The sequence below is a fragment of the Homo sapiens genome, chromosome 13 (genome assembly GCF_000001405.40).
Source record: "Homo sapiens chromosome 13, GRCh38.p14 Primary Assembly".
Lineage (NCBI taxonomy): Eukaryota > Metazoa > Chordata > Mammalia > Primates > Hominidae > Homo > Homo sapiens.
In genome coordinates, this window is record NC_000013.11 from 30,454,377 (window position 1) to 30,480,437 (window position 26,061).

At 43.2% G+C, this 26,061-nt stretch overlaps 1 protein-coding gene across 10 annotated transcripts in view, besides 4 other annotated features; it reads right to left on the reverse strand.

Annotated features, from left to right (window-relative positions):
- Positions 1 to 2,327: 2,327 nt before the first annotated feature.
- The window catches only part of HMGB1 (high mobility group box 1), a 160,894-nt gene continuing 137,160 nt past the window's right edge, over positions 2,328 to 26,061 (reverse strand). The window contains exons 1-6 of one of the 10 annotated variants that reach the window (NM_001363661.2): positions 11,420 to 11,560; positions 9,155 to 9,318; positions 8,831 to 8,976; positions 8,162 to 8,336; positions 7,263 to 7,312; positions 2,328 to 7,157 (exon numbers count right to left, since the gene is read on the reverse strand). In NM_001363661.2, the coding sequence (NP_001350590.1) occupies positions 7,307 to 7,312; positions 8,162 to 8,336; positions 8,831 to 8,976; positions 9,155 to 9,304 (477 nt within the window). In that variant the 5' untranslated portion in view covers positions 9,305 to 9,318; positions 11,420 to 11,560 and the 3' untranslated portion in view covers positions 2,328 to 7,157; positions 7,263 to 7,306. 10 annotated transcript variants of the gene reach the window in all.
- Positions 9,984 to 10,623: a silencer, noted in NCBI's record as "silent region_5233". NCBI's record gives its function as "represses an Ori minimal core promoter by ATAC-STARR-seq in GM12878 lymphoblastoid cells {active_cell/tissue: GM12878}" and the evidence as "EXISTENCE:reporter gene assay evidence [ECO:0000049][PMID:35858748]".
- Positions 10,968 to 11,743: an enhancer, noted in NCBI's record as "H3K27ac hESC enhancer chr13:31039481-31040256 (GRCh37/hg19 assembly coordinates)". NCBI's record gives its function as "activates a minimal SCP1, AML or CMV promoter by ChIP-STARR-seq in naive H9 embryonic stem cells {active_cell/tissue: H9 hESC(naive)}" and the evidence as "EXISTENCE:reporter gene assay evidence [ECO:0000049][PMID:30033119]".
- Positions 11,223 to 11,532: a silencer, noted in NCBI's record as "silent region_5234". NCBI's record gives its function as "represses an Ori minimal core promoter by ATAC-STARR-seq in GM12878 lymphoblastoid cells {active_cell/tissue: GM12878}" and the evidence as "EXISTENCE:reporter gene assay evidence [ECO:0000049][PMID:35858748]".
- Positions 11,744 to 12,519: an enhancer, noted in NCBI's record as "H3K27ac hESC enhancer chr13:31040257-31041032 (GRCh37/hg19 assembly coordinates)". NCBI's record gives its function as "activates a minimal SCP1, AML or CMV promoter by ChIP-STARR-seq in naive H9 embryonic stem cells {active_cell/tissue: H9 hESC(naive)}" and the evidence as "EXISTENCE:reporter gene assay evidence [ECO:0000049][PMID:30033119]".

Consider the following 26,061-nt stretch of genomic DNA (forward strand, 5'->3'; position numbering starts at 1 on the left):
GGTGACAGAGCGAGACTCCGTCTCAAAAAAAAAAAAAAAAAAAAGGTTAATTTTATGTTATATGAGTCTCACCTCAATTTTTAAAATCTATCTATATCTATATATCTATATATATTACATGTTATATATAGAAACTGGAAGGGCACATAATATGGTAATAGTCTTGCTGACTGGTAGAATTACAGGTTTTTGTTTTCTTATTTATTTTGTTTCAATAATGTAAGTTTCATTCATAATAAGGGCAACCGATTTTTCAAAAGTTATTGTCGTGTGTAGCATATTGCATCTTGCTTCTACTTCCAGAAGATCAGGCTACAGTCCTAAGCAGCATCTATTATATTAGTGATTACCAGCCCTTTAGAATCAGATAGCCTATAACTTTCTACATGACTGGGAGTATTTTTGTTTGGTTTGGTTTGGTTCAGTTCAGAAATGTTCTGTCCAAGTAAATCAAAGGAGAAAGCCAGAGAAGAACCTCAGTGATGGCAGAATGTACTGGCTATCCTAGCATAGCAAAAATTGTAGCCAAAGCAGAAGAACCCAGGCCTGGAAGTGAGGGGCAATGAGGAAGTTTTCCAGCCTTTTTGTTGCTGTCCTTAAGGGAAGGGGAAAGAGCTCACATCTTTTTTGCACCTACTGTGAGCCTGGTGCTGCTAGAGTGTTTTGATACTGCCATTTGTCCTTGAGCAAGCCTCTGAATCCCTATGGGCCTCTGTCCACTACTCTGTAAAAATGCACAGATTAGACTACGGTAGCCCTTAGACCCCCTTCGCCTGTAATGTGCTAGGACCTTACACTAGTGCTATGCCTTATTCTGTCCCTCCCTGAAAACAGGCTCTCTGGTCAGCCTCTCTGCTTCTGAGCCTAAGTGTGCCTAGCCCCATTCCCTGTGCCCAAGCCCCAGCCAGGCTGATTCCAGGTGGCAGAGCAAGGCCTGGGGAAATGGGGCTTGGGGTGTAGGGGTGGGGGAGCTGCAATATCTTTGCTTTGAGTAGCCTCCAAGTTCTTACTCTTCATCTCTTCCAGGGATTACAGTGGCACCTGAGGCTGTGGCAACTGAGCATCTTGTTTTTCTTTATCTTTAGGAGCACTCTCTCACACTCAACAGATCCTTATTTTATTTTAGGGTTTTTTATTCTCTTACTTGGTTATGTTCAGATCACTTTATAAAATAAGCTCTAATTGAAACCCAATAAACAAAACCAGGGTACAGTCAACACCTGTGAAAAGGAGAAAAAAACCCAAAAAGCAAAAGCTAACAAACAAAATACGGTAAAGCCTCTAATGAGAGATTCTATGTAACGCTAAGGAACTAAGCTTAATTTCACTTTTTTTTTTTTTTTTTTTGAGTTGGAGTCTCGCTGTCACCCAGGCTGGAGTGCAGTGGCGCGATCTCGGCTCACTGCAAGCTCCGCCTACCAGGTTCACACCATTCTCCTGCCTCAGCCTCCCAAGTAGCTGGGACTACAGGCGCCCGCCACCACGCCCGGAAAATTTGTTTGTATTTTTAGTAGAGAGGGGGTTTCACCGTATTAGCTAGGATGGTCTCAATCTCCTGACCTCATGATCCGCCCGCCTCAGCCTCCCAAAGTGCTGGGATTACAGGCGTGAGCCACTGCGCCCGGCCAGCTTAATTTCACTTTGAGCATATAAATACAATTTCATTTATAAGCACATTTGGAGTATGTCCTTTGCCATAAAGTATCATCTCCAGCAAGGAACTGGTGAACTTTATTCCATTTAAGGCAAATCCTCAGAATCCATTCTGCCTTTCCAAACACTTGTCTCCTAAAGGCTAGTATCTGGGCCACACATTTCTCCTTTTGCTACACCTTATTGAACAACTTGCATTTCCAAAACTGTTGGCTGCAGCTTCTGTAAGATTGACATAGAATCTCTGCTAGAAAAGACCCTCCCCAGAATAAAACAAACCAACCAAAAAACTACCACATACTTCCATTTAGGACAGAGTATATCAAAATGAGAAAGAACCTCCTCATTTTCACACAGTGGATTACTTATTTAGTTACTGCAGTAACTTTAGAGAAATAGTTTAGCAGTTTAGGCCAGGAACTGTGGTTCTCACGCCTGTAATCTCAGCAACAAGGCCGAGGAGGGAGGGAGGATAGTTTGAGGCCAGGAGTTTGAGAAATAGTTTAGCAGTTTAAATAAAGCAGTGGCTTGTCCTAAGAGTCTTTCAGTTGATTCTCTCTGTGTTTCTTATTCTGGTCAGGTAGCTCTGGACAAATGACAGTATTTCAGTATTTTAATTTCTCGTTTTTAAAAATAGAGTTATACAGCCAAAGAAAAACCAGTAAAAATCTTGATTAATTGCAAAATCATTGTTAAAATGTTTCACAGCATAAATAACAGCTTTTGTGGGCGGGGGGGGGGGGTGGTGGGGTGCAATTTATCAACATCTTCCAAAATGTTAAATGCAAATGTCTTTTGACTCAGCAGTTCTACTTTTGAGGTATCTGAAGACCCACACATGCCTGAGAGAAATGTACAGATGTTCAGCGCAGTACTGTTAAACAGCAAAAAATAGGAAACAATCTAAATGTCCATCAGTAAGGGAATGATGAAAAATATTATGGATCATATACAAGTGAGATCGAAAAAAGAAAAAATATGTATTATGGAGCACCATACTGTGGAATGTCACGTACATGACTGAATTATGTGACTAAAGAGAACAATGAATATGAGTACATAATTTACAAGGATCTCTCTAATCCCTTTTCCACTTATTTTTAAAATGGTATTTAGTATATCTGCAAAATTATTTATTTCTAGTAGACAAGGCCTCACTATGTTGCCCAGGCTAGTGTCAAACTCCTGGCCTCAAGTGATCCTCCCACCTCGGCCTCCCAAAGTGCTGGGATTATAAGTGTGAGCCACTGTGCCTGGCTTTCCACTGACTTTCTATTTCTGGATTCCAGAGTCTGCATACCCTTGCCCACCACTGCTCATGCTCACTTACAGGTTTAGTCATACTATTGCAGATTTTATTCCTACTTCCTTCTTTTCAGTGGATGCCCAATAAATTCAACTATTTAAGCTAAGCACAGTGGTGTGTCCCTGTAATCCCAGCTACTTGAGAAACTGAGGCGGGAGGATTGTTTGAGCAGATTTGGAGACCAACCTGGGCAACATAGAGATTCTATGTAATCTCTCATGTCAAAATAAGTAAAAATTCCACTAATTAGAAGGTCCAAACCAATGCACATGTCTAAAGTCATCTAGCATTTCTTCCTGGTAGAGATTACCTTAGACTGAACCCCCCTGGAAGACGAGCATTACATATTCTGGAGTGTGGCATATTATGTTTGTGTCATTCCATGTTGTATGGTTATCTGTCATGATGTATCGTGAAACAAGCAATTCTATAACAGAGCACTATTTTGCCTCATTACTCTGGGAGCAATGTGGCATAGACCCATGGAATTTCCCAAGTTGTGGCAAGTGTTATTAGCACTGCCTTGGTATTAAGAGGACAAGAAAATGAACCACCATCTTTTGCTGGATAGACAATCAAATCACTTTCTGGCTTTTATCTACTTTTAAAATACATTTCAAGGGTCATTTGAAAATGACACAAAGCACAAATATGAAAAGAAATTCAAATATTATCACACTCCCTAATAAAACAGCCTAATTACCAAAGGCTCACATTTTAGCAAGTTAATTCTAAGACTTAAGCTGTGTACGGTGTGTGCAAATTTGCAGATACCTTACCATCACATGCAAGTGTCTTACTGCTACTGAAAGCTATCAGACCCTTTCAGGAGGCGTGTTGTACCAAGCAGACCTAAATGTGAACTTTCATCAAGGACCTTTTTAGGAGGCGTATTGTACCAAGCAGACCTAAATGTGAACTTTCATCAAGGACTATGTGATGTCAAGCAAGGCAGTACCCATGTATTTCATTCAAAAACCAGTTGTCTCTCCTGTGTTTTTTTTTTTTTTTTGAGATGGAGTCTTGCTCTGTCACCCAGGCTGGAGTGCAGTGGCACAATCTCGGCTCACTGCAACCTCCGCCTCCCGGGTTCACGCCATTCTCCTGCCTCAGCCTCCTGAGTTACTGGGACTACAGGCGCCCAGCACCACGCTTGGCTAATTTTTTGTATTTTTAGTAGAGGCGGGGTTTCACCACGTTAGCCAGGATGGTCTCAATCTCCTGACCTCGTGATCTGCCCGCCTTGGCCTCCCAAAGTGCTGGGATTACAGGCGTGAGCCACTGCGCCCGGCCTCTCCTGTAGTTTTCAACATAGTTAAATCCTACAATGTCTGAGCAATGGTTACAATTCCTTAGGTAGTAAGGGAAATACCTGTTGAATGGCAGTTTGTGTTACATGGGCGCTTTTCTTATCTTTATCATTTAATCATTACCCCTCGGGTACACAGGACACACAAATTTCATTTTTCAGATTTCACTTTAAGAAAATTAATAAATACAGCAAACATTAACAACACTGTGATGGGACGATCATCAGAACTGTGGTAACTAATCAGCAATAGCTCTCAACCTTTGCACAGCAAAGTTAGGAAATTTGACTCGTTAATCAATATGCCATATGCCTATCTTTAAAATACAAAAAAACTAAGATTTATACATCTTAGTTCATTAGTTTTAAAAAGCATCTTCATTTTAAAAGTTGGCCCAATTAATTATAGATTTAGTCTTTTCTTGATGTCAACAAAGTCTTTAAACCCCACAGCACTGTAACTATCTTGGCATTAAAATAGTTTCTATACACTTTCTAAAAAAAATCATCTTCAGTTACAAGGCTTTACACTTATCTAAATTGCCTCCCACTTCCATTTACTTGAGTTTTAGACATCCAACTTCTAGGGGATACTGTTAGAACACCAAACCATACTAATCTTCAGATTGAAGAGGGGTTTTGTCCATTTTCTTAAGATCTGTGGTCAAGAATAAACCCTAAAAAAACTGTTCCCATTCTCAACATCTTAAAAAAATGGTAGTTGTCATGACGTACCTACTAAAGTTACAAATTCTCCTTGAGCCAGAATTCATTTTAAATGGATCAGAATTATTAATGTTGGTGATTAATGGTGATTTCTATACAGTAGAAACTTCCATCTAAATCAGATTGAGTCATTTGCTCCTCTTAACAAAAAATCTGATGTTCGACACAATTGCAGCCTATCACTAACCCTGCTGTTCGCTTGCATGTATCTTGTTTTTAAAAATCTTGTTTAAATCATTCTGAAAGTAAAACTAGTTTTTCCTCCTTTATATATAGCACCGAATACTTGCAATGTTTGACAAAACCTTTTATCAGCCCATTAACCTATTTATAAGCATAAAGTGAGTATTTTTAAAGGGAAAAACTTTGCCATCCCTTATACTTATTTAAAAGGTACTGCTAAGAGGTATTATTAGAAACAAGATTTAAAAATATGTAACAAAATCTTAAGTTCTTAAGTGAAAGCCATTTAACTAGTATTTAAAACCTCTGCAATTATTAGTTTATTAGTATCATCCAGGACTCAGATGTTCAGTATTCCTCCTGAAATTACATAAACAAATGCAAATGGAAAGAATCCAAGTCTAAATTATATAACAAAACAGCACTCCATCACAAAAGCGTGTAAAATTACAAGAACGCTATTTTAAAATACTGGCACTTTAAGAAAACGATAATCTCGAAAACCACAAAATTGCCAAATTGTTCCCTAAACTCCTAAGCAGATAAACATGACTAATGAATGAGTTTGTTTTGTAAAGAAAAATCATTCAAATAAATTGAATAATTCATACTGAGATGCAAAGTTTGTCTTCTTTCTTCCTATCTACTTGGATTTATAAAGGGGCAAACCGTAATATAGGAAAATATACCCTATTTTGAATGTGGCATCTTTGTTTGAAAAGCTGGCCCAATTAATTAAAAATACTTGTAATGGAAAGTCTCGTTTCCTGAGCAGTCCATATTTAGATAAATGGGAAAAGACATCTATAGCCAGCATTTTCATAGTCTTCACTGAGACTAATGTCAACAAAAAATTTAATATGGCAGTCTTGTATTTTAAGCTCACGCTTTTGGGGATACATTCTCAGGTCTTCTTTAATGTGGGAACTGCAAAATATAACTGCCATTACATGGTAATGGGAGTTAAAGAATAGAGTCCTCATGTAAAGGTTAGAACATACTTTTCTATTAGTCCTTCAAGGACAGACTTTCAAAATGTTTGATTCTAATAATCCCATGCTTTGAGTAGATTGATTACTCTTCAGTTTGTAAATGTAAGTGGGCTATGTGAAATTTCTTAACTGATCAAGATTTTGGATGTTCAGTTATGGATGAAAACTATCTCAACTTAACTTTACCCCCATTATGATATGCAGGGTGTGTAGACAAAAGCTTTTTATTAGCTAACTATATGAAAGGATAAACACTGTAATAATTCATGTGATTCAAAATGGGCAAAAGCAAAAGACTAGCTTCCCCTCAAGAAGAAAAATTTCAGACCTATGAAAAGGACAACAATACTAATAAAAAAAATTGTATTTACTTAGAAGCATTCAGAATGTCAACAAAACAGCTGCAACTTTTTTTTTTTTTTTGCAATTACAGAGTGGTATTCAGTTAACAGAACAACAATTATTTCGTATAAGCTGCATCAGAGACAACTGAAGATGAAAAAACTACCATCCCCATATATAACTAATTTGTGCTGTGCACCAACAAGAACCTGCTTTAAATTTCCATGCCAATTTACAACCCCCATACTGTACCAGGCAAGGTTAGTGGCTATTGAAAATACCACCAGGACAGGGCTATCTAAAGACACATTCGGTAGTGTGTTAACTATACAAAAAAAGACACTGTACAGTTTAAAAACAAATCTTACACAGCCTTACATTTCAATTTTTTTCTTTAAAAGGAGTGAGTTGTGTACAGGGGGGTTAAATGCTTTATAGACAAGAAAAAAAAAACTGCGCTAGAACCAACTTATTCATCATCATCATCTTCTTCTTCATCTTCATCTTCTTCATCTTCCTCCTCCTCCTCATCCTCTTCATCTTCCTCATCTTCCTCCTCTTCCTTCTTTTTCTTGCTTTTTTCAGCCTTGACAACTCCCTTTTTTGCTGCATCAGGCTTTCCTTTAGCTCGATATGCAGCAATATCCTTCCAAAGCAAAGGGAGGATAAAACAGTAGGGAAGAAAAAAACATTAAGGAAAGAAATAGAACATGGCAGAACTTTATGAAAGAAATCAAGATTCTAGTTATACCAAAATATCACGTATCTGTAGATCCACAGCAACTCCAGAAATAACTAGAACTTCAATAAATGAACATAAAAATACAAGATCATTATAACAATCTATAACTCATGAAATGGCATAGTCTAATATTTGCAAAGTTATGCCTCATTGAGGTGCAATTATGTACCACATCCTAACTCTATTAAAACCAGAATGTAGAGACTTTGATTAAAGGGTAGACACTGCCACCTTCTGAATGCAAAAAAGCACTCTACAGGTTTACACTGTCAGACCTTAATCCTTAGTAGGAAATGTGGTCTTAAAAAAAAAAGGTAATTTGTCAATAAACATGCAATTAGGTTAAGAAACATCTAGAAATAAACACTTTTCAGAATGACTAAAGCTGAAAATTAAGTATTTAATATTTCAATTTACTGAACTATAAGAGTTATAGATTTCCTTAATCTTATTAATTTACTGGACAGAGCAGCAGACTTGTAATTTAACTTAGTGATGCTGTGGTTTTTTGAGTATCTAAAGGAAAAGAACATAAATGTTTCAGGATATGACTAAGAAAAATATAGCCTATATTACTTTGTCTAGCCTGTTTTTGTACTGTATGCCAAGCCATTTGAAAATGCTCATTTTTGACTTGAAGTGACTACCAACATTTTCATGAACTTCAAGATACTGGGGAATAACAAAACCAACATAAATGTACACAGCCTTTGTCTGAGTCTGATTACATTTTAGTCAAAAAAACCCTAATTTATTTGGTCCTCTGCATTCTTTGAAGGATGAGGACTTATATCAACACCATACTTAATGTAGCTGTTACCCTAAAAACTTATTACACCTCAAACTAAGTACAATCATACATCTGGCGTACTTGTCATCATTTTACCAAGCAAACCCACACTTCTTACCTTTTCATATTTTTCCTTCAGCTTCGCAGCCTTCTTTTCATAAGGCTGCTTGTCATCTGCAGCAGTGTTATTCCACATCTCTCCCAGTTTCTTCGCAACATCACCAATGGACAGGCCAGGATGTTCTCCTTTGATTTTTGGGCGATACTCAGAGCAGAAGAGGAAGAAGGCCGAACTAAAAAAAAAATTAATTTTAGGATTTTAAGTTAACAGATCACAAAAACAAATACTATCAAGTGTACACTGCATTGCTATTTAAAGCTGCCTGTGAATTTCTGTGATGCATTGGACAGGGTGCAAATACTATAATATACTAAATATCCTTCACAACCAAAGCTTAATTTACAACTATTTAATTTATACTAGCTAGAACCCTAGATGAACATTCTACAATTACACTATTTCAAAGGGATAGTATTTTTCAAGAAATAAAAAGATCAAAAGGAGATACACTGGGCAAAGGAGACCAAATGTCTAATTCAAATGCTCTGGGAACACTCCCACCCAACAGGAATTTTATACTATTTAAATATAACCAATATGAACAAGTATTAGCTAAGAAACTTTGATTGTACATTTACACTCTAAACTGACAAAGTAGCTTGCTAAATTTCTCTCAGATTCTACTGTAAAACGTGTCTGGGAAGTAAAAACAGGCAAGATACTCACGGAGGCCTCTTGGGTGCATTGGGATCCTTGAACTTCTTTTTTGTCTCCCCTTTGGGAGGGATATAGGTTTTCATTTCTCTTTCATAACGGGCCTTGTCCGCTTTTGCCATATCTTCAAATTTTCCTTTCTCTTTAGCAGACATGGTCTACAAAATAATTATTTGTAAGTTTAAGTTGTAACATTTAAGTAAATTATCCTCAAAACCAATGTCTTTTGCTATGTAATAGCGTCCCACTACGAGAATGCCAACTAGGCTTTTTTTTGCATCCTCAATTGGAAACTGTCTTTTAATTACCTTGTTAGCATGTTTTAAGCCCTCTTACCTTCCACCTCTCTGAGCACTTCTTAGAAAACTCTGAGAAGTTGACTGAAGCATCTGGGTGCTTCTTCTTATGCTCCTCCCGACAAGTTTGCACAAAAAATGCATATGATGACATTTTGCCTCTCGGCTTCTTAGGATCTCCTTTGCCCATGTTTAGTTATTTTTCTAAAAAATAAAATAAATATTTGATGTTAGCAATAAAATTATGACATATAAGACCTTAAAGTACTTAGTAAGGGAATGAAAACCAAAGTACTGGTTATTTAACACAGTAGCGACATCAACCTCCGTAAAATCAGACAAGAATATGGCCGAGAGATTAAATTCCTTGAAGGGGCTATGCCAAGCAAACAAAACAAAACAAAAACAGTCCTTCAGGGCGATCTCAAAAAGTCTAGACACAAAGATATACCCATACAGTATTCCCTATCTATCCGCCCGAGTCTGCTCTGAATGAGTATCTAACTGGTCACTTAAACGATTTTAAAATCTAGAACACCATTTTAAACCAACCAAACCAAAGGTCAGAAAACATGCTGCCAATTCGTGGCTTTGCACTAGATAGGGAATAAACAAGGGCCTAAGCGAGTCGACTCTTCCTAATTATGGGACCTTAAAAAAAAAAAATCACCGTGCACCGAAAGTTTCAAAAAACACCCTCTTTGCATAAAACTTTGCTCCAAAGAGGGAGCAGCAGCCAGCTCCGGTGCTCGGAACCCGGTTGGGGGGTGGCGGTGCCACCGCGAGGCAGCCTCGTTTCCTATCGGTTTGGCCCTGAGATGTATTTCTGTTCTGACTAAACACGTCCGGTCTGAAGTTTCTCCGAGTAAACAAGGATGAGGGACAAAAGCCACTCCTGCTCGTGGCTCGGTGGCCCCCTCCCCCAACTCGGGAAGTATTTTTTGGAGCCGTGAAAGTTGGGGTGACTCCTGCGCGGGGCGAGCCCCCCGCCCCTAGAACTTCGCCGGTGGCCGCGCGGCCGAGGAGAGAGGACGCGGCCCGGCTCCCAGGCCCGAGGCCGCCACGTGCGCCCGGCAGGCCCTGCAGGCCCGCGCCGCCGCCGCCCCCATTTTGTCAGGCTCGGCGCAGGGAGAAGCCCCGCTCGAAATGGGGGCTGGCTCCGCCCGCGGCCGCCGGGGCCGGCGCGCACGGAATGGCCGCTGCGCGTCTTCTCCGCCTGCGCCGCCGCCGCCGCGAGGGCGAGCGCGAGCGAGAATATGGCTCCTTCCCTTTGTGTGTGTGTGTGTGTGTGTGTGTGTATGAGAGAGTGTGTGAGTGCGAGGGTGCGGGCGCGGCGGCGGCGGCGGGCGGGGTGCGAGCCGCGCTCTGGCGCACACACTCGGCCATTACGGCCGGGGGAGGGGCGGGGGGCGCGCGGCCGGGCCCTCCCCTCCGCGCCGCTCCCCTCCCCCCGCCGCGGTGGGGGCCGCCCGAGGGCCCACCCGCCCGCCACTCCCCGTCTCCCTCCGCGCGGGCCGCGCGCCCCGCCGCCCCCGCACGGAGAACGCGGGGCTGTGAAAAGAGAGAGGAAAAAAAAAGTTGCCTCGGAACTGCTGCGCCCAGCTCCCCCGCCCGCCCGCCTTGTTTTCTCTCCAGCCAGCAGCGCCGGGCCCGAGTCAGCCATGTTCCAGCGAGCGCAGCGGCGCCGCTCCCCCCGCCGCCCGGCCGCCGCCGCCGCCGCGACCGGGCCGAGGCCGGCCGGGCCCGCACTGCCGCCCCCAGGCCCCCGCGCCGCCCTCGCCCGCCGCGGCGCCCCGCCCGCCCCGCCGCCCGCCCGGCTGGCCGCGCTCCCCGCCAGCGCCCGGCTCGCTGCGGCGGCGGCCAATGCAGCCCGGGGAAGCGCCGCCGCTGCCCTCCCGCCGCCGCCGCCGAGCCGCGCCGGCCCCGCCGCCCCGGCCGCGCTCCGCGCACGCCGCCCGCCCGAACGCCCGGCCCGAGGGCCCAAAACACGTTCAAAATTTTTTTAATTAAAAAAAAAATTTTTTTTTTTGCGCCAGTCAGCGCGGACGCCGCCGGGGGTGGAAACTCGCGGGGCGCGGGGCTCCCGGCGCCTCAGGCTGCCTGAGGGCCGGGGCACCGGCGCGGGGCAGCGTTCCCGGCGCCCGGGCAGAGGCTCGCTCCGTGCGCAGTTCCCCCCACGGTCCCCCCTCATTTGCCTTTGTGTGGATCCTGACCCGCCGGCTCCCGGCCGCGGGGATCCGGCCGCCGCGCGGGCTGGGGAGCTGCCGGAGGCGCTCTCCCCGCCGCGGCGCTGCCCCAGACTCACCCTCAGCGAGGCACAGAGTCGCCCAGTGCCCGTCCGGCTCTCACTTGCCCCGGTGCTGTCTCTATGGAGCTCAATGTACTGCAATGGCTGTGAGAGCGGGAGCCAGACGCAGCCTCCTCACTCTCTCCGCTCTGTAACATTACTCTCCAGCCAGCGCGGCTCCTATTGGCTACCGCCAACTCACGGGGCTCGCTCATTGGCCCGATACCTCCCATTGTCCTGACCAGAGCCCGTTTGCTATTGGCTGTCTCCGGGGACACGTCATCAAGGATTGAAACAGCGCGCAAATCTGAATGTGTGTGTATGCCGGGCAAAGAGGCTGAGGCGGGAGAGGCAGAGGCAGAGGCAGCAGCTGCTACGGGAAAGCAGAGCTCTATGGTGTATGTGTGCATGTGTCTAACCCAAGCCAGCCCCACACCGGAGCGGCCGCCGGAGCGAAAAGGGCCTGACTTTTCCACAAGTGTCTCCAACTCCTCAGGCAAAAGAGACACCCACAGGTCTCCCCCCCCCTTCTTGCCCCACATTCACGCCCAAAGCCGTTGAGATAAGAGGCCCCAGGCTTTTAATGGCCCTTCAAAAGTGAGGGCGACACTATGGGATCATGTCCCCTGAAAACTGGGGTCTCTGCTGGTGCTGAGGGGCGGAAGCCGCCGAGCCTCGAGCCCCTCAAAGGTCTCTGATTGCGTTACACTTTAGGTCTCTGGAAAGGCAGGGCTTCTATAAGAAAGTGACATGATCCAGCCAGCCGGGTTTAAAATACCCCTTTTCTGGGCTCATAAGCCGTCACGTCAGGCTCGCTGAGCAGCTGAAATCTTGAGTCAGTGAGCAGGCATTCAGTTTCACCCTTTTTCTTGGTTTGATCGAGTTTCACAGCATGTCTAGAACTTTTTATTTAAATACAAAGCACTGTCTTAACTTCCTGGAAATCAAATAATTATTCCATGTAATTAAAGAACAGCCACTTGGTTTGATATGGGGTACTCTAGCAGGAAATGTTTGTGAGGCCCTGGTAGAATTAGCAAATTCATTAGAGACCACATTCTAAACTGTTTGGCTATTTTATTTGACTTGGTGTGGATTACTGTTACAATCAAACGAATCCTTGTGATGCTATCTTTCCCTCCCATCACACCACTTAGTGCATCCATGTAACTGCTCTAGGATTACAGGAGTTGTAGGTATATGGTTACCCGAAGGATTAGATGCAGGCAGAGAGTGCATGTGCCCAAATCCACAGGCTGTGGTTTCTCTAACTCACCAAGCTGGCTGGTATTAATAGACATACTTACGTCTGTAGAGAAAATGTGCTGGCTGTAGTGGCCAGTTCTGAAGACTCTACAGTTATATCAGTCCTTTATGAAACTACTATCTATTCCTTTTAGCCTGAGCAGACCACGCCCCTATTCAGTTATAACAGACTTCCCTTTTTTTTCACTCTCTAATGGTATTTTGTACACTTCTAAATCCAACAACCAATTCCTCCAAATGTAACAGATCAAATTTGGAATAAATCACCTACATCGTGTTAATTTGATTTTTTATATCGCTTATAAGCATCCATAACCTAATTTATTTCCTCAAATGTATTAAACTACTTGAGAGTAAGCTTAGATAATCTTTCCTGTTTTAATGTTGATTTCTTTTTAAAAGAAAATACACTATCGGACTCAGGGATTATAGTCTTGGTGAATGGACAATATATCACACATGCACATGAAAAAGACTATAATATTAAAGAGGATATAAATTGGTATACTGCACATGCAGTGTTTAAAGATAATATATCTAAAGTTAACTTTTATGTTATTATTTTCACACATATTTACTATCCTCTGCTTCCCTCTACTAATCATTCAAATTTTATATTTTTTAAATCTAGATATTTATTTCAATACTGTCTTATCTTCTCAATGTCTCATATTACAAAATATTCATGAGAATGATTAAGATACTTTCAGTGGCATCGATGATATTAAAATTTGACGATTAGTTGAATATGGCACTATCAATATTTTCCAGGAGCAGTGTTGGCTTTGTACTGGCACGGCCATACACTTTACTGGTTGTCTATACCAGCTTGCTCCTGCCAGGGTGCATTTATGGCCACAGGACATCTTGAGAGCAATGGGCCCACACAAGGTTTCTATTTTGACAGGATGATATGGTGAGTAATAGGCACTGGAATTGAATAGACTTGGGTGCAAATCCCAGCTCTGCTACTTACTAGCTGTATGATCTTGGGCATGTTTTTAAACCTCCATGCTTCAATTCTCTCAGCTATAAAATGGAGGGGACCACAGGGTTGTAAAGATTAAACTTTTTTTAATGTTTAAAATTATATAGACCCCTTCAATCCCATAATTTAGAAAACCTCAAGTGCAGTTAACCTTGAGTTTTTCTTCATATTTTAATCTTATATGAAGGCAGTGATTGCAAATCTAGTGAATTTTTTGTTGTTGTTGTTATTGTTGTTGTTTGAGACAGAGTTTTGCTCTTACTGCCCAGGCTGGAGTGCAGCGGTGCAATCTCGGCTCACTGCAACCTACACCTCCTGGTTCAATCGATTCTTCTGCCTCAGCCTCCCGAGTAGCTGGGAATACAGGCATGCGCCACCATGCCCGGCTAATTTTTTATTTTTAGTAGAGACGGGGTTTCACCATGTTGGTCAGGCTGGTCTTGAACTCTTGACCTCAGGTGATCCGCCCACCTTGGCCTCCCAAAGTGCTGGGATTACAGGCATGAGCCACTGCACCCGGCCTTGTTTTGTTTTTTTTAAATCCTAACCTCAAACAATGCTAATCTTCCCCTAGTCTGGTGATGGTACCTTTATTTATTCCCAAGTTTAACAGAGACTATATCAGAGAGAAGAGTTTAAAAACCACCACTTGCAGGCAATTCATTTCTTATATTTGATTTTCTGTGATATAGGCAGGGAAGAACATAAAAAAGACAGAAATTTTAAAATAAAACCAACATCTTCTAGCTCTAACCCCACAATCTTGATGTTCCTTTATGATATTAGACGCTTTTCTTCTTCCACATGAATCCTTAGTCACAAGTTGACATATTTTACTTTACAGTTATTGGGTTTTTGTTGTTGTTGTTTTTGTTTTTATGAGACAGGGTCTTGCTCTGTTGCCCAGGCTGGAGTGGAATGGCACGATCTCAGCTCACTGCAACCTCCACCTCCCGGGTTCAAGCAATTCTCGTGCCTCAGCCTCCCGAGTAGCTGGGACTACAGGCATGCACCACCATGCCTGGGTAATTTTGAATTTTTGATAGAGACGGTTTCACCATGTTGGTCAGGCTGGTCTTGAACTCCTGACCTCAAGTGATCTGCCCGCCTCAGCCTCCCAAAGTGCTAAGATTACAGGCATGAGCCCTGGTACCCGGCCAAGTTATTGGGTGTTTTATCCCAAATTACAAAGTCATCCAGTCGAAGAGGCCTGAACACCCTCTCCCATGCTCAATTTAAACAACTGAATTACAGATCGTCATTAATGTACTTTATGCCCTTCCTCCATCCCCTCTAGGATAGGGGACGTACCTCTTTTCTGTAATCCTGTAATATTGTGTATATTAATTACTGCAATCACAATTGTGGTTCTCCAGTTGTATCTGCTTGTCCCACTGCACTGTACACCTTAAAGGCAAGAACTCTGTATTTTTTGTTTTTTTTTTTCTAAGACAGGTTATGGCTGTATTGCCCAGGCTGGAGTGCAGTGCAGTGGCATGATCACGGCTCACTGCAGCCTTGACTTTCTGGGACTGAAGCCATCCTCCCACCTCAGCTTCCTGGGAAGCCAGGACTACAGGTGAGTGCCACCACGCCCGGCCTATTTATTTATTTATTTGAGACGGAGTCTCCCTCTGTCACCAGGCTGGAGTGCAGTGGCACAATCTTGGATCACTGCAACCTCTGCGTCCTTGGTTTAAGTGATTCCCCTGCCTCAGCCTCCCGAACAGCTGTGACTACAGGCGCGTGCCACCACGCCCAGCTTATTTTTGTATTTTTAGTGGAGACGGGGTTTCACCATGTTGGCCAGGATGGTCTCCATCTCTTGACCTTGTGATCCGCCCGCCTTGGCCTCCCAAAGTGCTGGGATTACAGGCATGAGCCACTGTGCCCAGCCCCAGCTAATTTATTTTTATTTTTATTTTTTGTAGAGACAAGGTCTCTCCATGTTGCCCAGGCTGGTCTCAAACTCATGGGCTCAAGTGATCCTCCTACCTTGGCCTCCCAAAGTGCTGGGATGACAGGCATGAACCACCGTGCCTGGTGCTGGCTATTTTTTTTTTTGTAGAGGCAGGGTCTCTCCATGTTGCTCAGGCTGGTCTCAAACTCCTTGGCCTCCCAAAATGTTGGGATTACAGGCATGAGAAACTGAGCCCAGCCCCTATCTTTGAATCCCAAGCACCTAGCAGAGTACTTGGCATACAGCAGGCATTAAATAAAGCCCGTTGCATAAATGAATTAATAGCTGAAGGAGTACGTATTGCAAATTATTGTTTTAACCTTCCTCTTCTATCTTTAGATCTAAAAGCATTTAGGTCTTTCTAAATCAAAAGGCAGGAAAATAGAATAAGAAGCGAATGTTAGGATACTAAGATTGAGGATAGGTGCCAATTACATCTCATTGACGTAACTTAAAAAGGGAGAGGCACAGTTGGAGGGTGAGAGGGGATCTCAAATGTAGAGAAACACATATAGTCTAAGCATTTACCAGTTTCCAATTAGGCCAAGATTATTCCTTGGTGGATACAGTGAACTATGGCAAGCCAAATTAGACTTTATCACAGAAAACTGCAAGATTGTCTGCCCAAAGATTGTTACCAATTGGCTTTTTATTGTTTTATTTTATTTTTTTTTTGAGACGGAGTCTCACTCAGTCGTCCAGGTTGGAGGGCGGTGGCGCGATCTTGGCTCACTGCAACCTCTGCCTCCTGGGTTCAAGTGATTCTCCTGCCTCAGCCTCCCAAGTAGCTAGGATCACAGGCGTGTGCCACCATGCCCAACTAATTTTTGTATTTTTAGTAGAGACGGGGTTTCACCATGTTGGCCAGGCTGGTCTTGAACCCCTGACCTTAGGTGATCCACCCGCCTCAGCCTTCCAAAGTGCTGGGATTACAGGTGTGAGCCACCATGCCCAGACTTATTTATTTATTTATTTATTTATATTTAATTAATTAATTAATTTTTTGAGACAGAGGCTTGCTCTATTGCCCAGGTTGGAGTGCAGTGGTGTGGTCTCAGCTCACTGCGACCTCCACCTCCCAGGTTCAAGCAGTTCTTCTGCCTCAGACTCCTGAGTAGCTGGGACTACAGGCACGCGCCATGGCTAATTTTTGTATTTTTAGTAGAGACAGGGTTTCATTATATTGGACAGGCCGGTCTTGAACTCCTGACCTCGTGATCCACCTGCCTTGGCCTCCCAAAGTGCTGGAATTACAGGTGTGAGCCAGCGCGCCTGGCCTATTTTATTTTATCTTTAATTTAATGTTTGTCTCCCATGTTCAACCAAACCAATGGTTGGTTTTTTTGTTTTTTTGTTTTTTGTTTTTTGTTTTTGAGACGGGGTTTCACTCTTGTTGCCTATGCTGGAGTGCAGTGGCGCGATCTCGGCTCACTGCAACCTCTGTCTCCCAGGTTCAAGTGATTCTCCTGCCTCAGCCTCCCAAGTAGCAGAGATTATAGGCATGGGCCACCACACCTGGCTAATTTTTTTTTTTTGTATTTTTAGTAGAGACGGGATTTCACCATGTTAGCCAGGCTGGTCTCGAACTCCTAACATCAGGTGATCCACCCGCCTCCGCCTCCCAAAGTGCTGGGATTACAGGCATGAGCCACCGTGCCCGGCCTTTTTTTTTTTTTTTTTTTTTTTTTTTTTTTGAGATGGAGTTTCACTCTTGTTGCCCAGGCTGGAGTGCAGTGGCACCATCTCGGCTCACTGCAACGTCCACCTCCCGGGTTCAAGCGATTCTCCTGCCTCAGCCTCCAGAGTAGCTGGGATTACAGGCACGCACCACCACGCCTGGCTAATTTTTTGTAATTTTAGTAGAGATGGGGTTTCACCATGGCCAGGCTGGTCTTGAACTCCTGACCTCAGGTGATCCGCCCGCCTAAGGCCTCCCAGAGTGCTGGGATTACAGGCGTGAGCCACCGCGGCTGGCCACCAATGGGCTTTTAAAACTTAAAAGGTGACCAGGTGTGGTGGCTTATGCCTGTAATCCCACTACTTTGGGAGGCAGAAGTGGGTGGATCACTTGAGGCCAGGAGTTCAAGACCAGCCTGGCCAACACGGCAAAACCCTGTCTCTACTAAAAAGACCAAAATGAGTCCGGGTGTGATGGCGCATGCCTGTAGTCCCAGCTACCTGGGAGGCTGAAGCACGAGAATCACTTGAACCCAGGGGGCGGAAGTTGCAGTGAATGGAGACTACACCAGAGTGCCACAGAGTGAGACTCTGTCTCAAAACAAAGATACAAATAAAAAACTCTGACGTAAAAAAAATACGACATGCAAGGCCAGGCACAGTGGCTCACACTGGTAATCCCAGCACTTTGGGAGGCCGAGGCAGGCGGATAACTTAAGGTCAGGGGTTTGAGACCAGCCTGGCCAACATGTTGAAACCGCATCTCTACTAAAAATACAAAACTTAGCCAGGCATGGTGGCGCACACCTGTACTCCCAGCTACTCCGGAGGCTGAGGCATGAGAATCGCTTGAACCTGGGAGACAGAGGTTGCAGTGAGCTGAGATGGTGCCACTGCACTCCAGCCTGGGCTACAGAGAAAGACTCCATTTCAAAACAAAACAAAACAATACAGAAAACAACAACAACAACAAAAATGCAGACTGGGAGCTGTAAGTTTTTCATTGGTTGAAAATATTGATCTCTCCCAATGCAATGAGTCCTAAAGTCAAGCTATATGAATTCTCTTGTCTGCTTTGCAAAACAGGCCAGTTTCGGAAAAGGAGAGGAAACGCTAACCCAAAATGTCTGATGAGGTCAACCATATAACCATACAACCATACTAAGGATCACACATACTGAAAACTTTTTTTTTTTTTTTTAGGGCAGTGAAAATAAAGGAATGAGGCATTTAGGAAAAGAAGAGAGCACAGGTTTGTGAACTCCAGACTAGAAGCAAGGATACTGACATCCAATCCCCTCAATTCACTATGCACGGACCTCTCATAGTCACCGAGGTCTATGCTCAGTTTCCTCAACATTTCCTTAGGGCTGTCACTACCTTAGTCTAACTTGAAAGGATGTTTCATGACTAAATGGAGAGGCAAGAAGAAAGACCAGAGGCGAAAGAGAGGGAGATGGTGCTATATGTGTTCATGTATGGAGAAGGAGAACCTCTTCCCCAGCTGCTTAAGTACCTCCTGCCTCAGCCCGAGTTTTCCGGGGGGAAATCAGCAGCTTCTCCGTGGGCAGCATTGATGATAGCCATCAATGCTATGGCACAGAAAATTGTACCAAAGCTAATTTATATCAATAAGTTCTCTAGAATTGGATGATTTTACTGGTTAGTAAGGGGAAAATATCAGACCTTTCCTTAAGAGGCCTGTCCTCTGGTTAGTCAAAGAATGGTACACATGACGAGTGGAAAACGCAATAGTAAAAGTTCTTACAGAAAGGTGATCTAAGTTCAGAAAAGATCCCTATATTAGGTCTTGATCTCAATAATCACATCAAACATCAAATTCAGCTGCTCTATTAAAACTGCCTTACACCTTCAGAATAAATGCTTATCACACACCCACGCAGATGGCTATAATCAAGGAGATAGACAGTAGCAAGCATGGGTGAGCATGTGGAGAAAGAAACTGGAACCCTTATGCACACTTGTGGAAATGTAAACGGGCAGGTGTTTTGGAAAACAAGCTGACAGTTCCTCAAAAGGTTAAACACAGATAGATAGCAGTTGACCCAGCAATTCCACTCCTAGGTATATACCCAAAAGAAACAAAAACATGTCCACACACACTTGTACATGAATCTTCATAGCAGCAGCATTTGTAACAGTCAAAAAGTGGAAAACACCCAAATGCCCATCAACTGATGAGTGGATAAATCGAATGTGGTATATCCATACACATACATATATATTTGACATTATGCTAAGTGAAAGAGCCCAGACATAAGAAGGCCACATATTGTATGATTCCATTTATATAAAATATCCAGAACAGGAAATATTATAGACAGGGAAGTAGATTAGTGGCTGCCAGGGTTTGGGGAAAAAGAGAGTGCCTGCTAATGGGTATGGAGTTTCTTTTAGGGGTACAAAAATGTTGCAGATTAGATTATAGTAATGGCAGCATGACCTGGTAAATATGCCCAAAACCATTGAATTGTACACTGTAAGTGGGTAAATTACATGGTGTATGAATCATATTTTGATAAAGCTATTTTTTAAAAAGCAATAAATGTCTTACGAGTGGTTTTGGTTAACTAAAGACAGGAACAATGGAACACTCCCTCGCCAACTTTGCCTATTTCTTTCCTGCTGTTCATGGTGTTTAACACCTTGTGAAAAAGATGGTCCTCTTCATTAGGTAGAATTTTCATCTATTATTGGAGTTACATATTCTGTGCTTAAAGTATATTTTTGCTGCAAAATATTATAGTAATTTTAAACAAGCGCTTTTATAGGGATACCGTGGGAGGCTTTTCTGGAGAGCCGGGGGTGACCGTAATGAGTATGCCCAGCCATGAAGGGTTAGGACTGACAGCGTAAACTGGCCCCTCTCTGGCCTTATCTGACCCACAGACGTTTCATTCGGTCAAAGCGGTGTTTTAAAAAGGTAGACATTGGGCAGGTATGGTGGCTCACACTTGTAATCTTAGCACTTTGGGAGGCCGAGGCAGAAGAGGAGTTCAAGGATGCAGTAAGCAGTGATTGAACCACTGCACTCCAGCCTGGGCGACAGAGCGAGATGGTCTCTCTCTCCTTTTTTTTTTTTTTTTTTTTTGAGATGGTTTCGCTCTATCGCCTAAGCTGGAGTGCAATGGTGCAACCTTGGCACTCTCTCTCTCTCTTTTTTTGTTTTTTTTTTTTTGAGACAGGGTCTTGCTCTTTCGCCTAGGCTGGAGTGCAATGGTGCAACCTTGGCTCACTCTCTTTCTCTTTTTTTTTTCTTTTCTTTTTTTGTTTTTTTTTTTTTTTTTTTTTTGAGACAGGGTCTCCCTTAGGCTGGAGTGCAGTGATGCGACCTCAGCTCTCTCTCTCTCTCTCTCTTTTTTTTTTTTTTTGAGACAGTCTCGCTCTGTCGCCTAGGCTGGAGTGCAGTGGTGCAACCTTGGCTCACTGTCTCTCTCTCTCTCTCTCTCTTTTTTTTTTTTTTTTTTTTTGAGACAGGGTCTCGCCTAGGCTGGAGTGCAGTGATGCGACTTCAGCTCACTGTCTCTCTCTCTCTCTTTTTTTTTTTTTTTGAGATAGGGTCTCACCTAGGCTGGAGTGCAGTGGCGTGACCTCGGCTCACTGCAGTCTCCTCCCACCTCTCCCCTCCCTTCACCCCACCCCAAGTAGCTGGGACTACAGGTGCACACCATCATGCCTGGTTAATTATGTTTTTGTATTTTTTGTAGAGATGGGGGTCTCTCCATGTTGCCTGGGCTGGTCTTGAACTCCTGGGCTCAAGTGATCTGCCTGTCTCAGCCTCCCAAAGTGCTGGGATTACAAGTGTGAGCCAATGTGCCCGGTTTGAGACCATCTCTAAAAAAAAAAAAAAAAAATTCCCTGGGTGTGGTGGTGGCGCTCACCTGTAGTTCCACCTACTCACTCAGAAGGCTGAGATAGGAGGATTGTTTGAGCCCGGGAGTTTGAGGCTGCAGTGAGCTATGATCCTGCCATCACACTCCATCCAGCCTGGGCAACAGAGAGAGACCCTGTCTCTAAACAAACAAACAAAACCCAGAAAACAGTAGAAATCTTCACAATAAAAAATCCAGATATTTGGCTTCTTTTGAAAAGTGAGAGATCTGATAAGGTTGGGTTCACATTTCCACATGGGGAGGATGGTTGGAATGAAGAGTAACTGCCTCCCTCAAAGAGGTCAGGGTTCTCAAGTTTACCACAGTCCCCGCCATTCCCTAAGTGGTTAGCCTGACTTTTCACCCAATCATATCACCTCCCTGGCCCCTGCAGACATTTGAGTTGGGGCCTAAGCATTTCATATGATTGTAAACTGTAATTCTGAAATTTTCTTGATCAGAGATTCTTTTTATAGGAAACACTTATTGTCATCATACAAACCATAGAGTGGGAAACTGAGAAACAGAACTGTTGTGATATCGCAGGTGGCATGTACTTTTTTTTTTTTTTTTTTTTTGAGACACAGGTAGCATGTACTCTCTCTCAGTTTTTTTATTTTGAGACAGAGTCTTACTCTTTTGCCCAGGCTGGAGTGCAGCCTCATTGCGACCTCAGCCTCTCAGGCTCAAGCTCAGCCTCCCGAGTAGTGGGATTACAGGCGCAAGCCACCACACTCAGCTAATTTTTTGTATTTTCAGTAGAGATGGGGTTTCACCATGTTGGCCAGACTGGTCTCGAACTCCTGACCTCAAGTGTTCTGCCCACCTCAGCCTCCCAAAGTGCTGGGATTACAGGCCTGAGCCATCGCGCCCAGCCAGCATGTACTCTTGAGATGAGGAAGAGAGTGGCTGTGCTGCCAAGAGAGGATGTCTTATGGCCCAGACAAAAGACTAGACAACAAGCTTTATTTAGCATGTGTCTCCCATGTGCTAAGCACTATACATAGAGTATTTTGTTTATGGCTGGTGTGATGGCTCACGCTTGTAATCCCAGCATTTTGGGAGGCAGAGGTGGGTGGATCACTTGAGCCCAGGAGTTCAAGACCAGCCTGGCCAACATGGCAAAACCCCAGCTCTACTAAAAGTACAAAAGTATTAGCTGAGTGTGGTGGCGTGTGCCTGTGATCCCAGATACTAGGGAGGTTGAGGCACGAGAATCACTTGAACCCAGGAGGCGAAGGTTAGAGAGAGCCAAGATCATACCACTGTGCTCCAGCCTGGGCAAAAGAGCGAGATTCTGTCTCAAAAAAAAAAAAAAAAGATTTTGTTTAATCCTAACAGTAATCCTATAAGGCCAGGATGCTTATCTGTCTTTTACAGGCAATACTAAGGGAGGCTCAGAGAGATTCGTTGAATTGTCCAAGGTCACACAGCTAGTTAGCAACAATATTGACCCAGTTCTGAGTCCAAAGCCTTGTGTTTTCTCCACTAAAGCCATATGATCTTGCGGTTATTAGCCTAGCTAATAAAATAAAAACGGTATCACATTTCCCCACCTAAATATGCATCACAGCCCCATAGGAATACTGACATACGTTTGAAATGCACAGTTCACATTCTTGGCTTTCAAGGTCTTTGAATAGGACCCTTACAGTTTGCATATATAAAATCTGAAAAAAGTTTAATGAAACAATACCTACCATTGTTGCGATGGACTCCGATTTTTTTTTCCTTCACATTTTAAATTTACTTCCCAATCCATCCATAGGCCCTGCGGTTTGTGAAACATGGAATTAGAGCAACAGTAAAGAAGTTCCATTTCCCATCCAGGGTAACATCAGGCCTAACTGACAAGTGCAGGTGCTGAGGCTGATTGAATAGGACAGAAAGGAGCAGCCAGGGGAGATGCCGAGCACCCAGAGCCTGCAGCCAAGCTCCCCAGCAGACCAAATGAAGCTTGTGCCAACACAGTGGGCCTGTCCCAAGCCCAGAGAAAGGCTCTGAAGACAGAAAAGGGGACTGCCTTGCTCTGCCAGGGAGGCCCAAGACAAAAAACAGCATTCCAGGCCAGAGAATGCCAGGAAATGCAAAGATGCTTGCAAATTTCTGAAGCCTGGGAGAGAAATCCTAGCAGACCTGACAAATATCTTCCTCACCTGAGTGAGGCTCCCCACCTTGGATTTGCCTCTAACTAAAATCACAGGCTGGAAATGCAGAAGTCCCTCTGCCAGTGAGGAGCTGGACCGGTTGGGACAGACAGCCTTACCATCCAAGTTACCAGGCCTCTTTGTTTAAAAAACACTGAGTGCCCAAAGCGGTTTGTAAGGGTAAACAGAGGGTGACTGCTAACCCATACCTGAAGGTGTTAAAGAAAAAAAAAATCAACAACAAAAAACGTGTATGCTTTTTCTGAAAGGTTGCTGTTGATCCTTGTTGTAAGGTTTCCTTTTGACTTACAAGAATGGAAATGAGGAAGTAGGAAAGAGATAGCATGGTTCACTACAGTCTAACATAAGTACTACCAGCAAATTGATAGTCATGTTCAGAAATGAACTCTGCATTGAACACACTCATGGCATTTGACCAGTGATTTTGCTTCTAGGAAATATTCAGAAATAAGTAAAAAGTGGCCAGGCATGGTGGCTCACTCCTGTATTCCCAGTACTTTGGGAGGCCAAGGCAGGAGGATCACTTGGGCCCGGGAGTTCAAGGCTGCAGTGAGCTGTCATTGTACCTGTGAATAGACACACTCCAGCCTGGGGACAGAGTGAGACCCTGTCTCTAAAAAGAATTATTTTTAATTAAAAAAATTATGAATTGCAGCATTATTTATAATGTGGAAACAACCTAGATGTCCAATGAGAGGTTTGGCTAAATGCATTTTAATCTGCCTTTATGATGCATTATTATCATTATAACACTATCAAATTCTTATGAATACTAAACTGAATGCCTTGCAAAAATATACACAATATCTTGTGAGAAAAACTATTTTCAGAAGGATCCCTGTTTGAAAAAGAGTATGTATGAATCCAGAAAAGACTGAAAGAATATACTAATAAATGTTAATCATATTTATTTCTGATGGAAGATAATCTTTGCTTTCTTTTTCTTTTCTTTTTTGAGACAGGTTCTTGCTCTGTTGCCCAGGCTGGAGTGCATTGGCACAATCATAGCTCACTGCAGCCTCAAACTCTTGGGCTCAAGTGATCTTCCCACCTCAGCCTCCCAAAGTGCTGGGATTATAGGCATGAGCCACACGGTGCCCAGCCCCCAAATCCCAATTTCTTTTTTCTTTTCTTTTCTTTTCTTTTTTTTTTTTTTTGAGACAGAGTCTCCCTCTGTCACCTAGGCTGGAGTGCAGTGGCGCGATCTCAGCTCACTGCAACCTCTGCCTCCCGGGTTCAAGCGATTCTCGTGCCTCAGCCTCCCAAATAGCTGGGCCAAATCCCAATTTCTAAGAGAAGAAATGTGCTACTAGAGGACTCAAAGATTCAGATAATTTTACAAATTCAGCATTACTCTAGAAACTGTTCCCTATGGGGAAATATTCCCTGTAAAGATAAATATGCACATTTATCATAGCTCTAAACTTTTACCTCTTGTCACTATTGATGTGTCTTCTCTAATAGCTATTCATTCTTTCCCTGTAATTTGGACCTTAGTCCGAATCTTTGCTTCTCTTCTGCTCTCTTTAAGACCTCAGTGACCAACTCTTCTTAGAGGCGTTTTAAACACTGTCATTATGTAAATGACCCTTGATTTCCATTCCAGCCCCAGGCTGTATCCTGGACTTCAGACTCCTATTCCCACCACTCACCAGTTTTGCAAGCTCTCCAGTTTGCCCTCTAAACCTTACCTCTTTCCGATTTCACTACCTGCAGAATTCCCACACTGGCTCAAATTCTAGCAGTTGTTTTTGACTCCCCTTTCTCCTCTCCCCTCACACCAACTTCAGTAACATTTAAGTCACAAGAGTTTTTGAATTCTTTTTTTCACTTCTTTTGTTCTGGCATTTATTATTTTGTGGTTAAGAATGGAGGCTTTGGAACCGGACACCTCTAAGTTTAAAATCCTGGTCCTGGTGCTTACTAGCTGTGTCACCTTGGGCAAAGTGAATGAACCTCTCTGAGCCTCAGCTGCTTCCATAAAATGATGATATCACCTTTGCAAGAGTGTTGTGAGTTTCAATGAGCTCATATACCTAAAGAGCTCAGCCTACAGTGTAAATCGCTTAGAACACTGTAAATGATCAACAGATGTTGGATGTTATTATAATTTTCCTAATGCATACAGCTCCACTGCTTTAAAAACTTTTTATTTAATTACAATGTTTTCTTCCAAATTAACTACAAAATCCTCTTCTGGCCCTCAGGGCCCTCCCTAATCTGGCAGTTTCTCTCTTGCTTTCCCTCCTGCTGCCCTCCTGATTTCTAATCAAACTGGACCTTGTACTTTCCCACCTTCAAGATTCTGGTCACACTGTTTCTCTGGCCTGTAATGTCCTTCCCCCTCCTCTGCTGCTAAAACCCAATCTCTCCTTTTAAATATTTACTGTGTGACAATAAAGATGCTTTCGGAAGTTAAAGCATGTGATTTTCTACATATAACCAGAAATCATAGAAGTTCATAAACTCCTTCAAAATGTATTGCCTTGTGTGGAATATTTACTTTGACACCAAAATATGTATTCGTTAAATTCAATGAATTCAGTCTACGTTTCATTTATTTATATATTTGTTCATTTATTTTAATTTTAGAGATGTGTAGAATATTCACTTTGACAACAAAATGTGTATTCACTAAATTCAATGAATTCAGTCTAGGTTTTCCTTACATATATATTTGTTTGTTTATTTTAATTTTAGAGATGGGG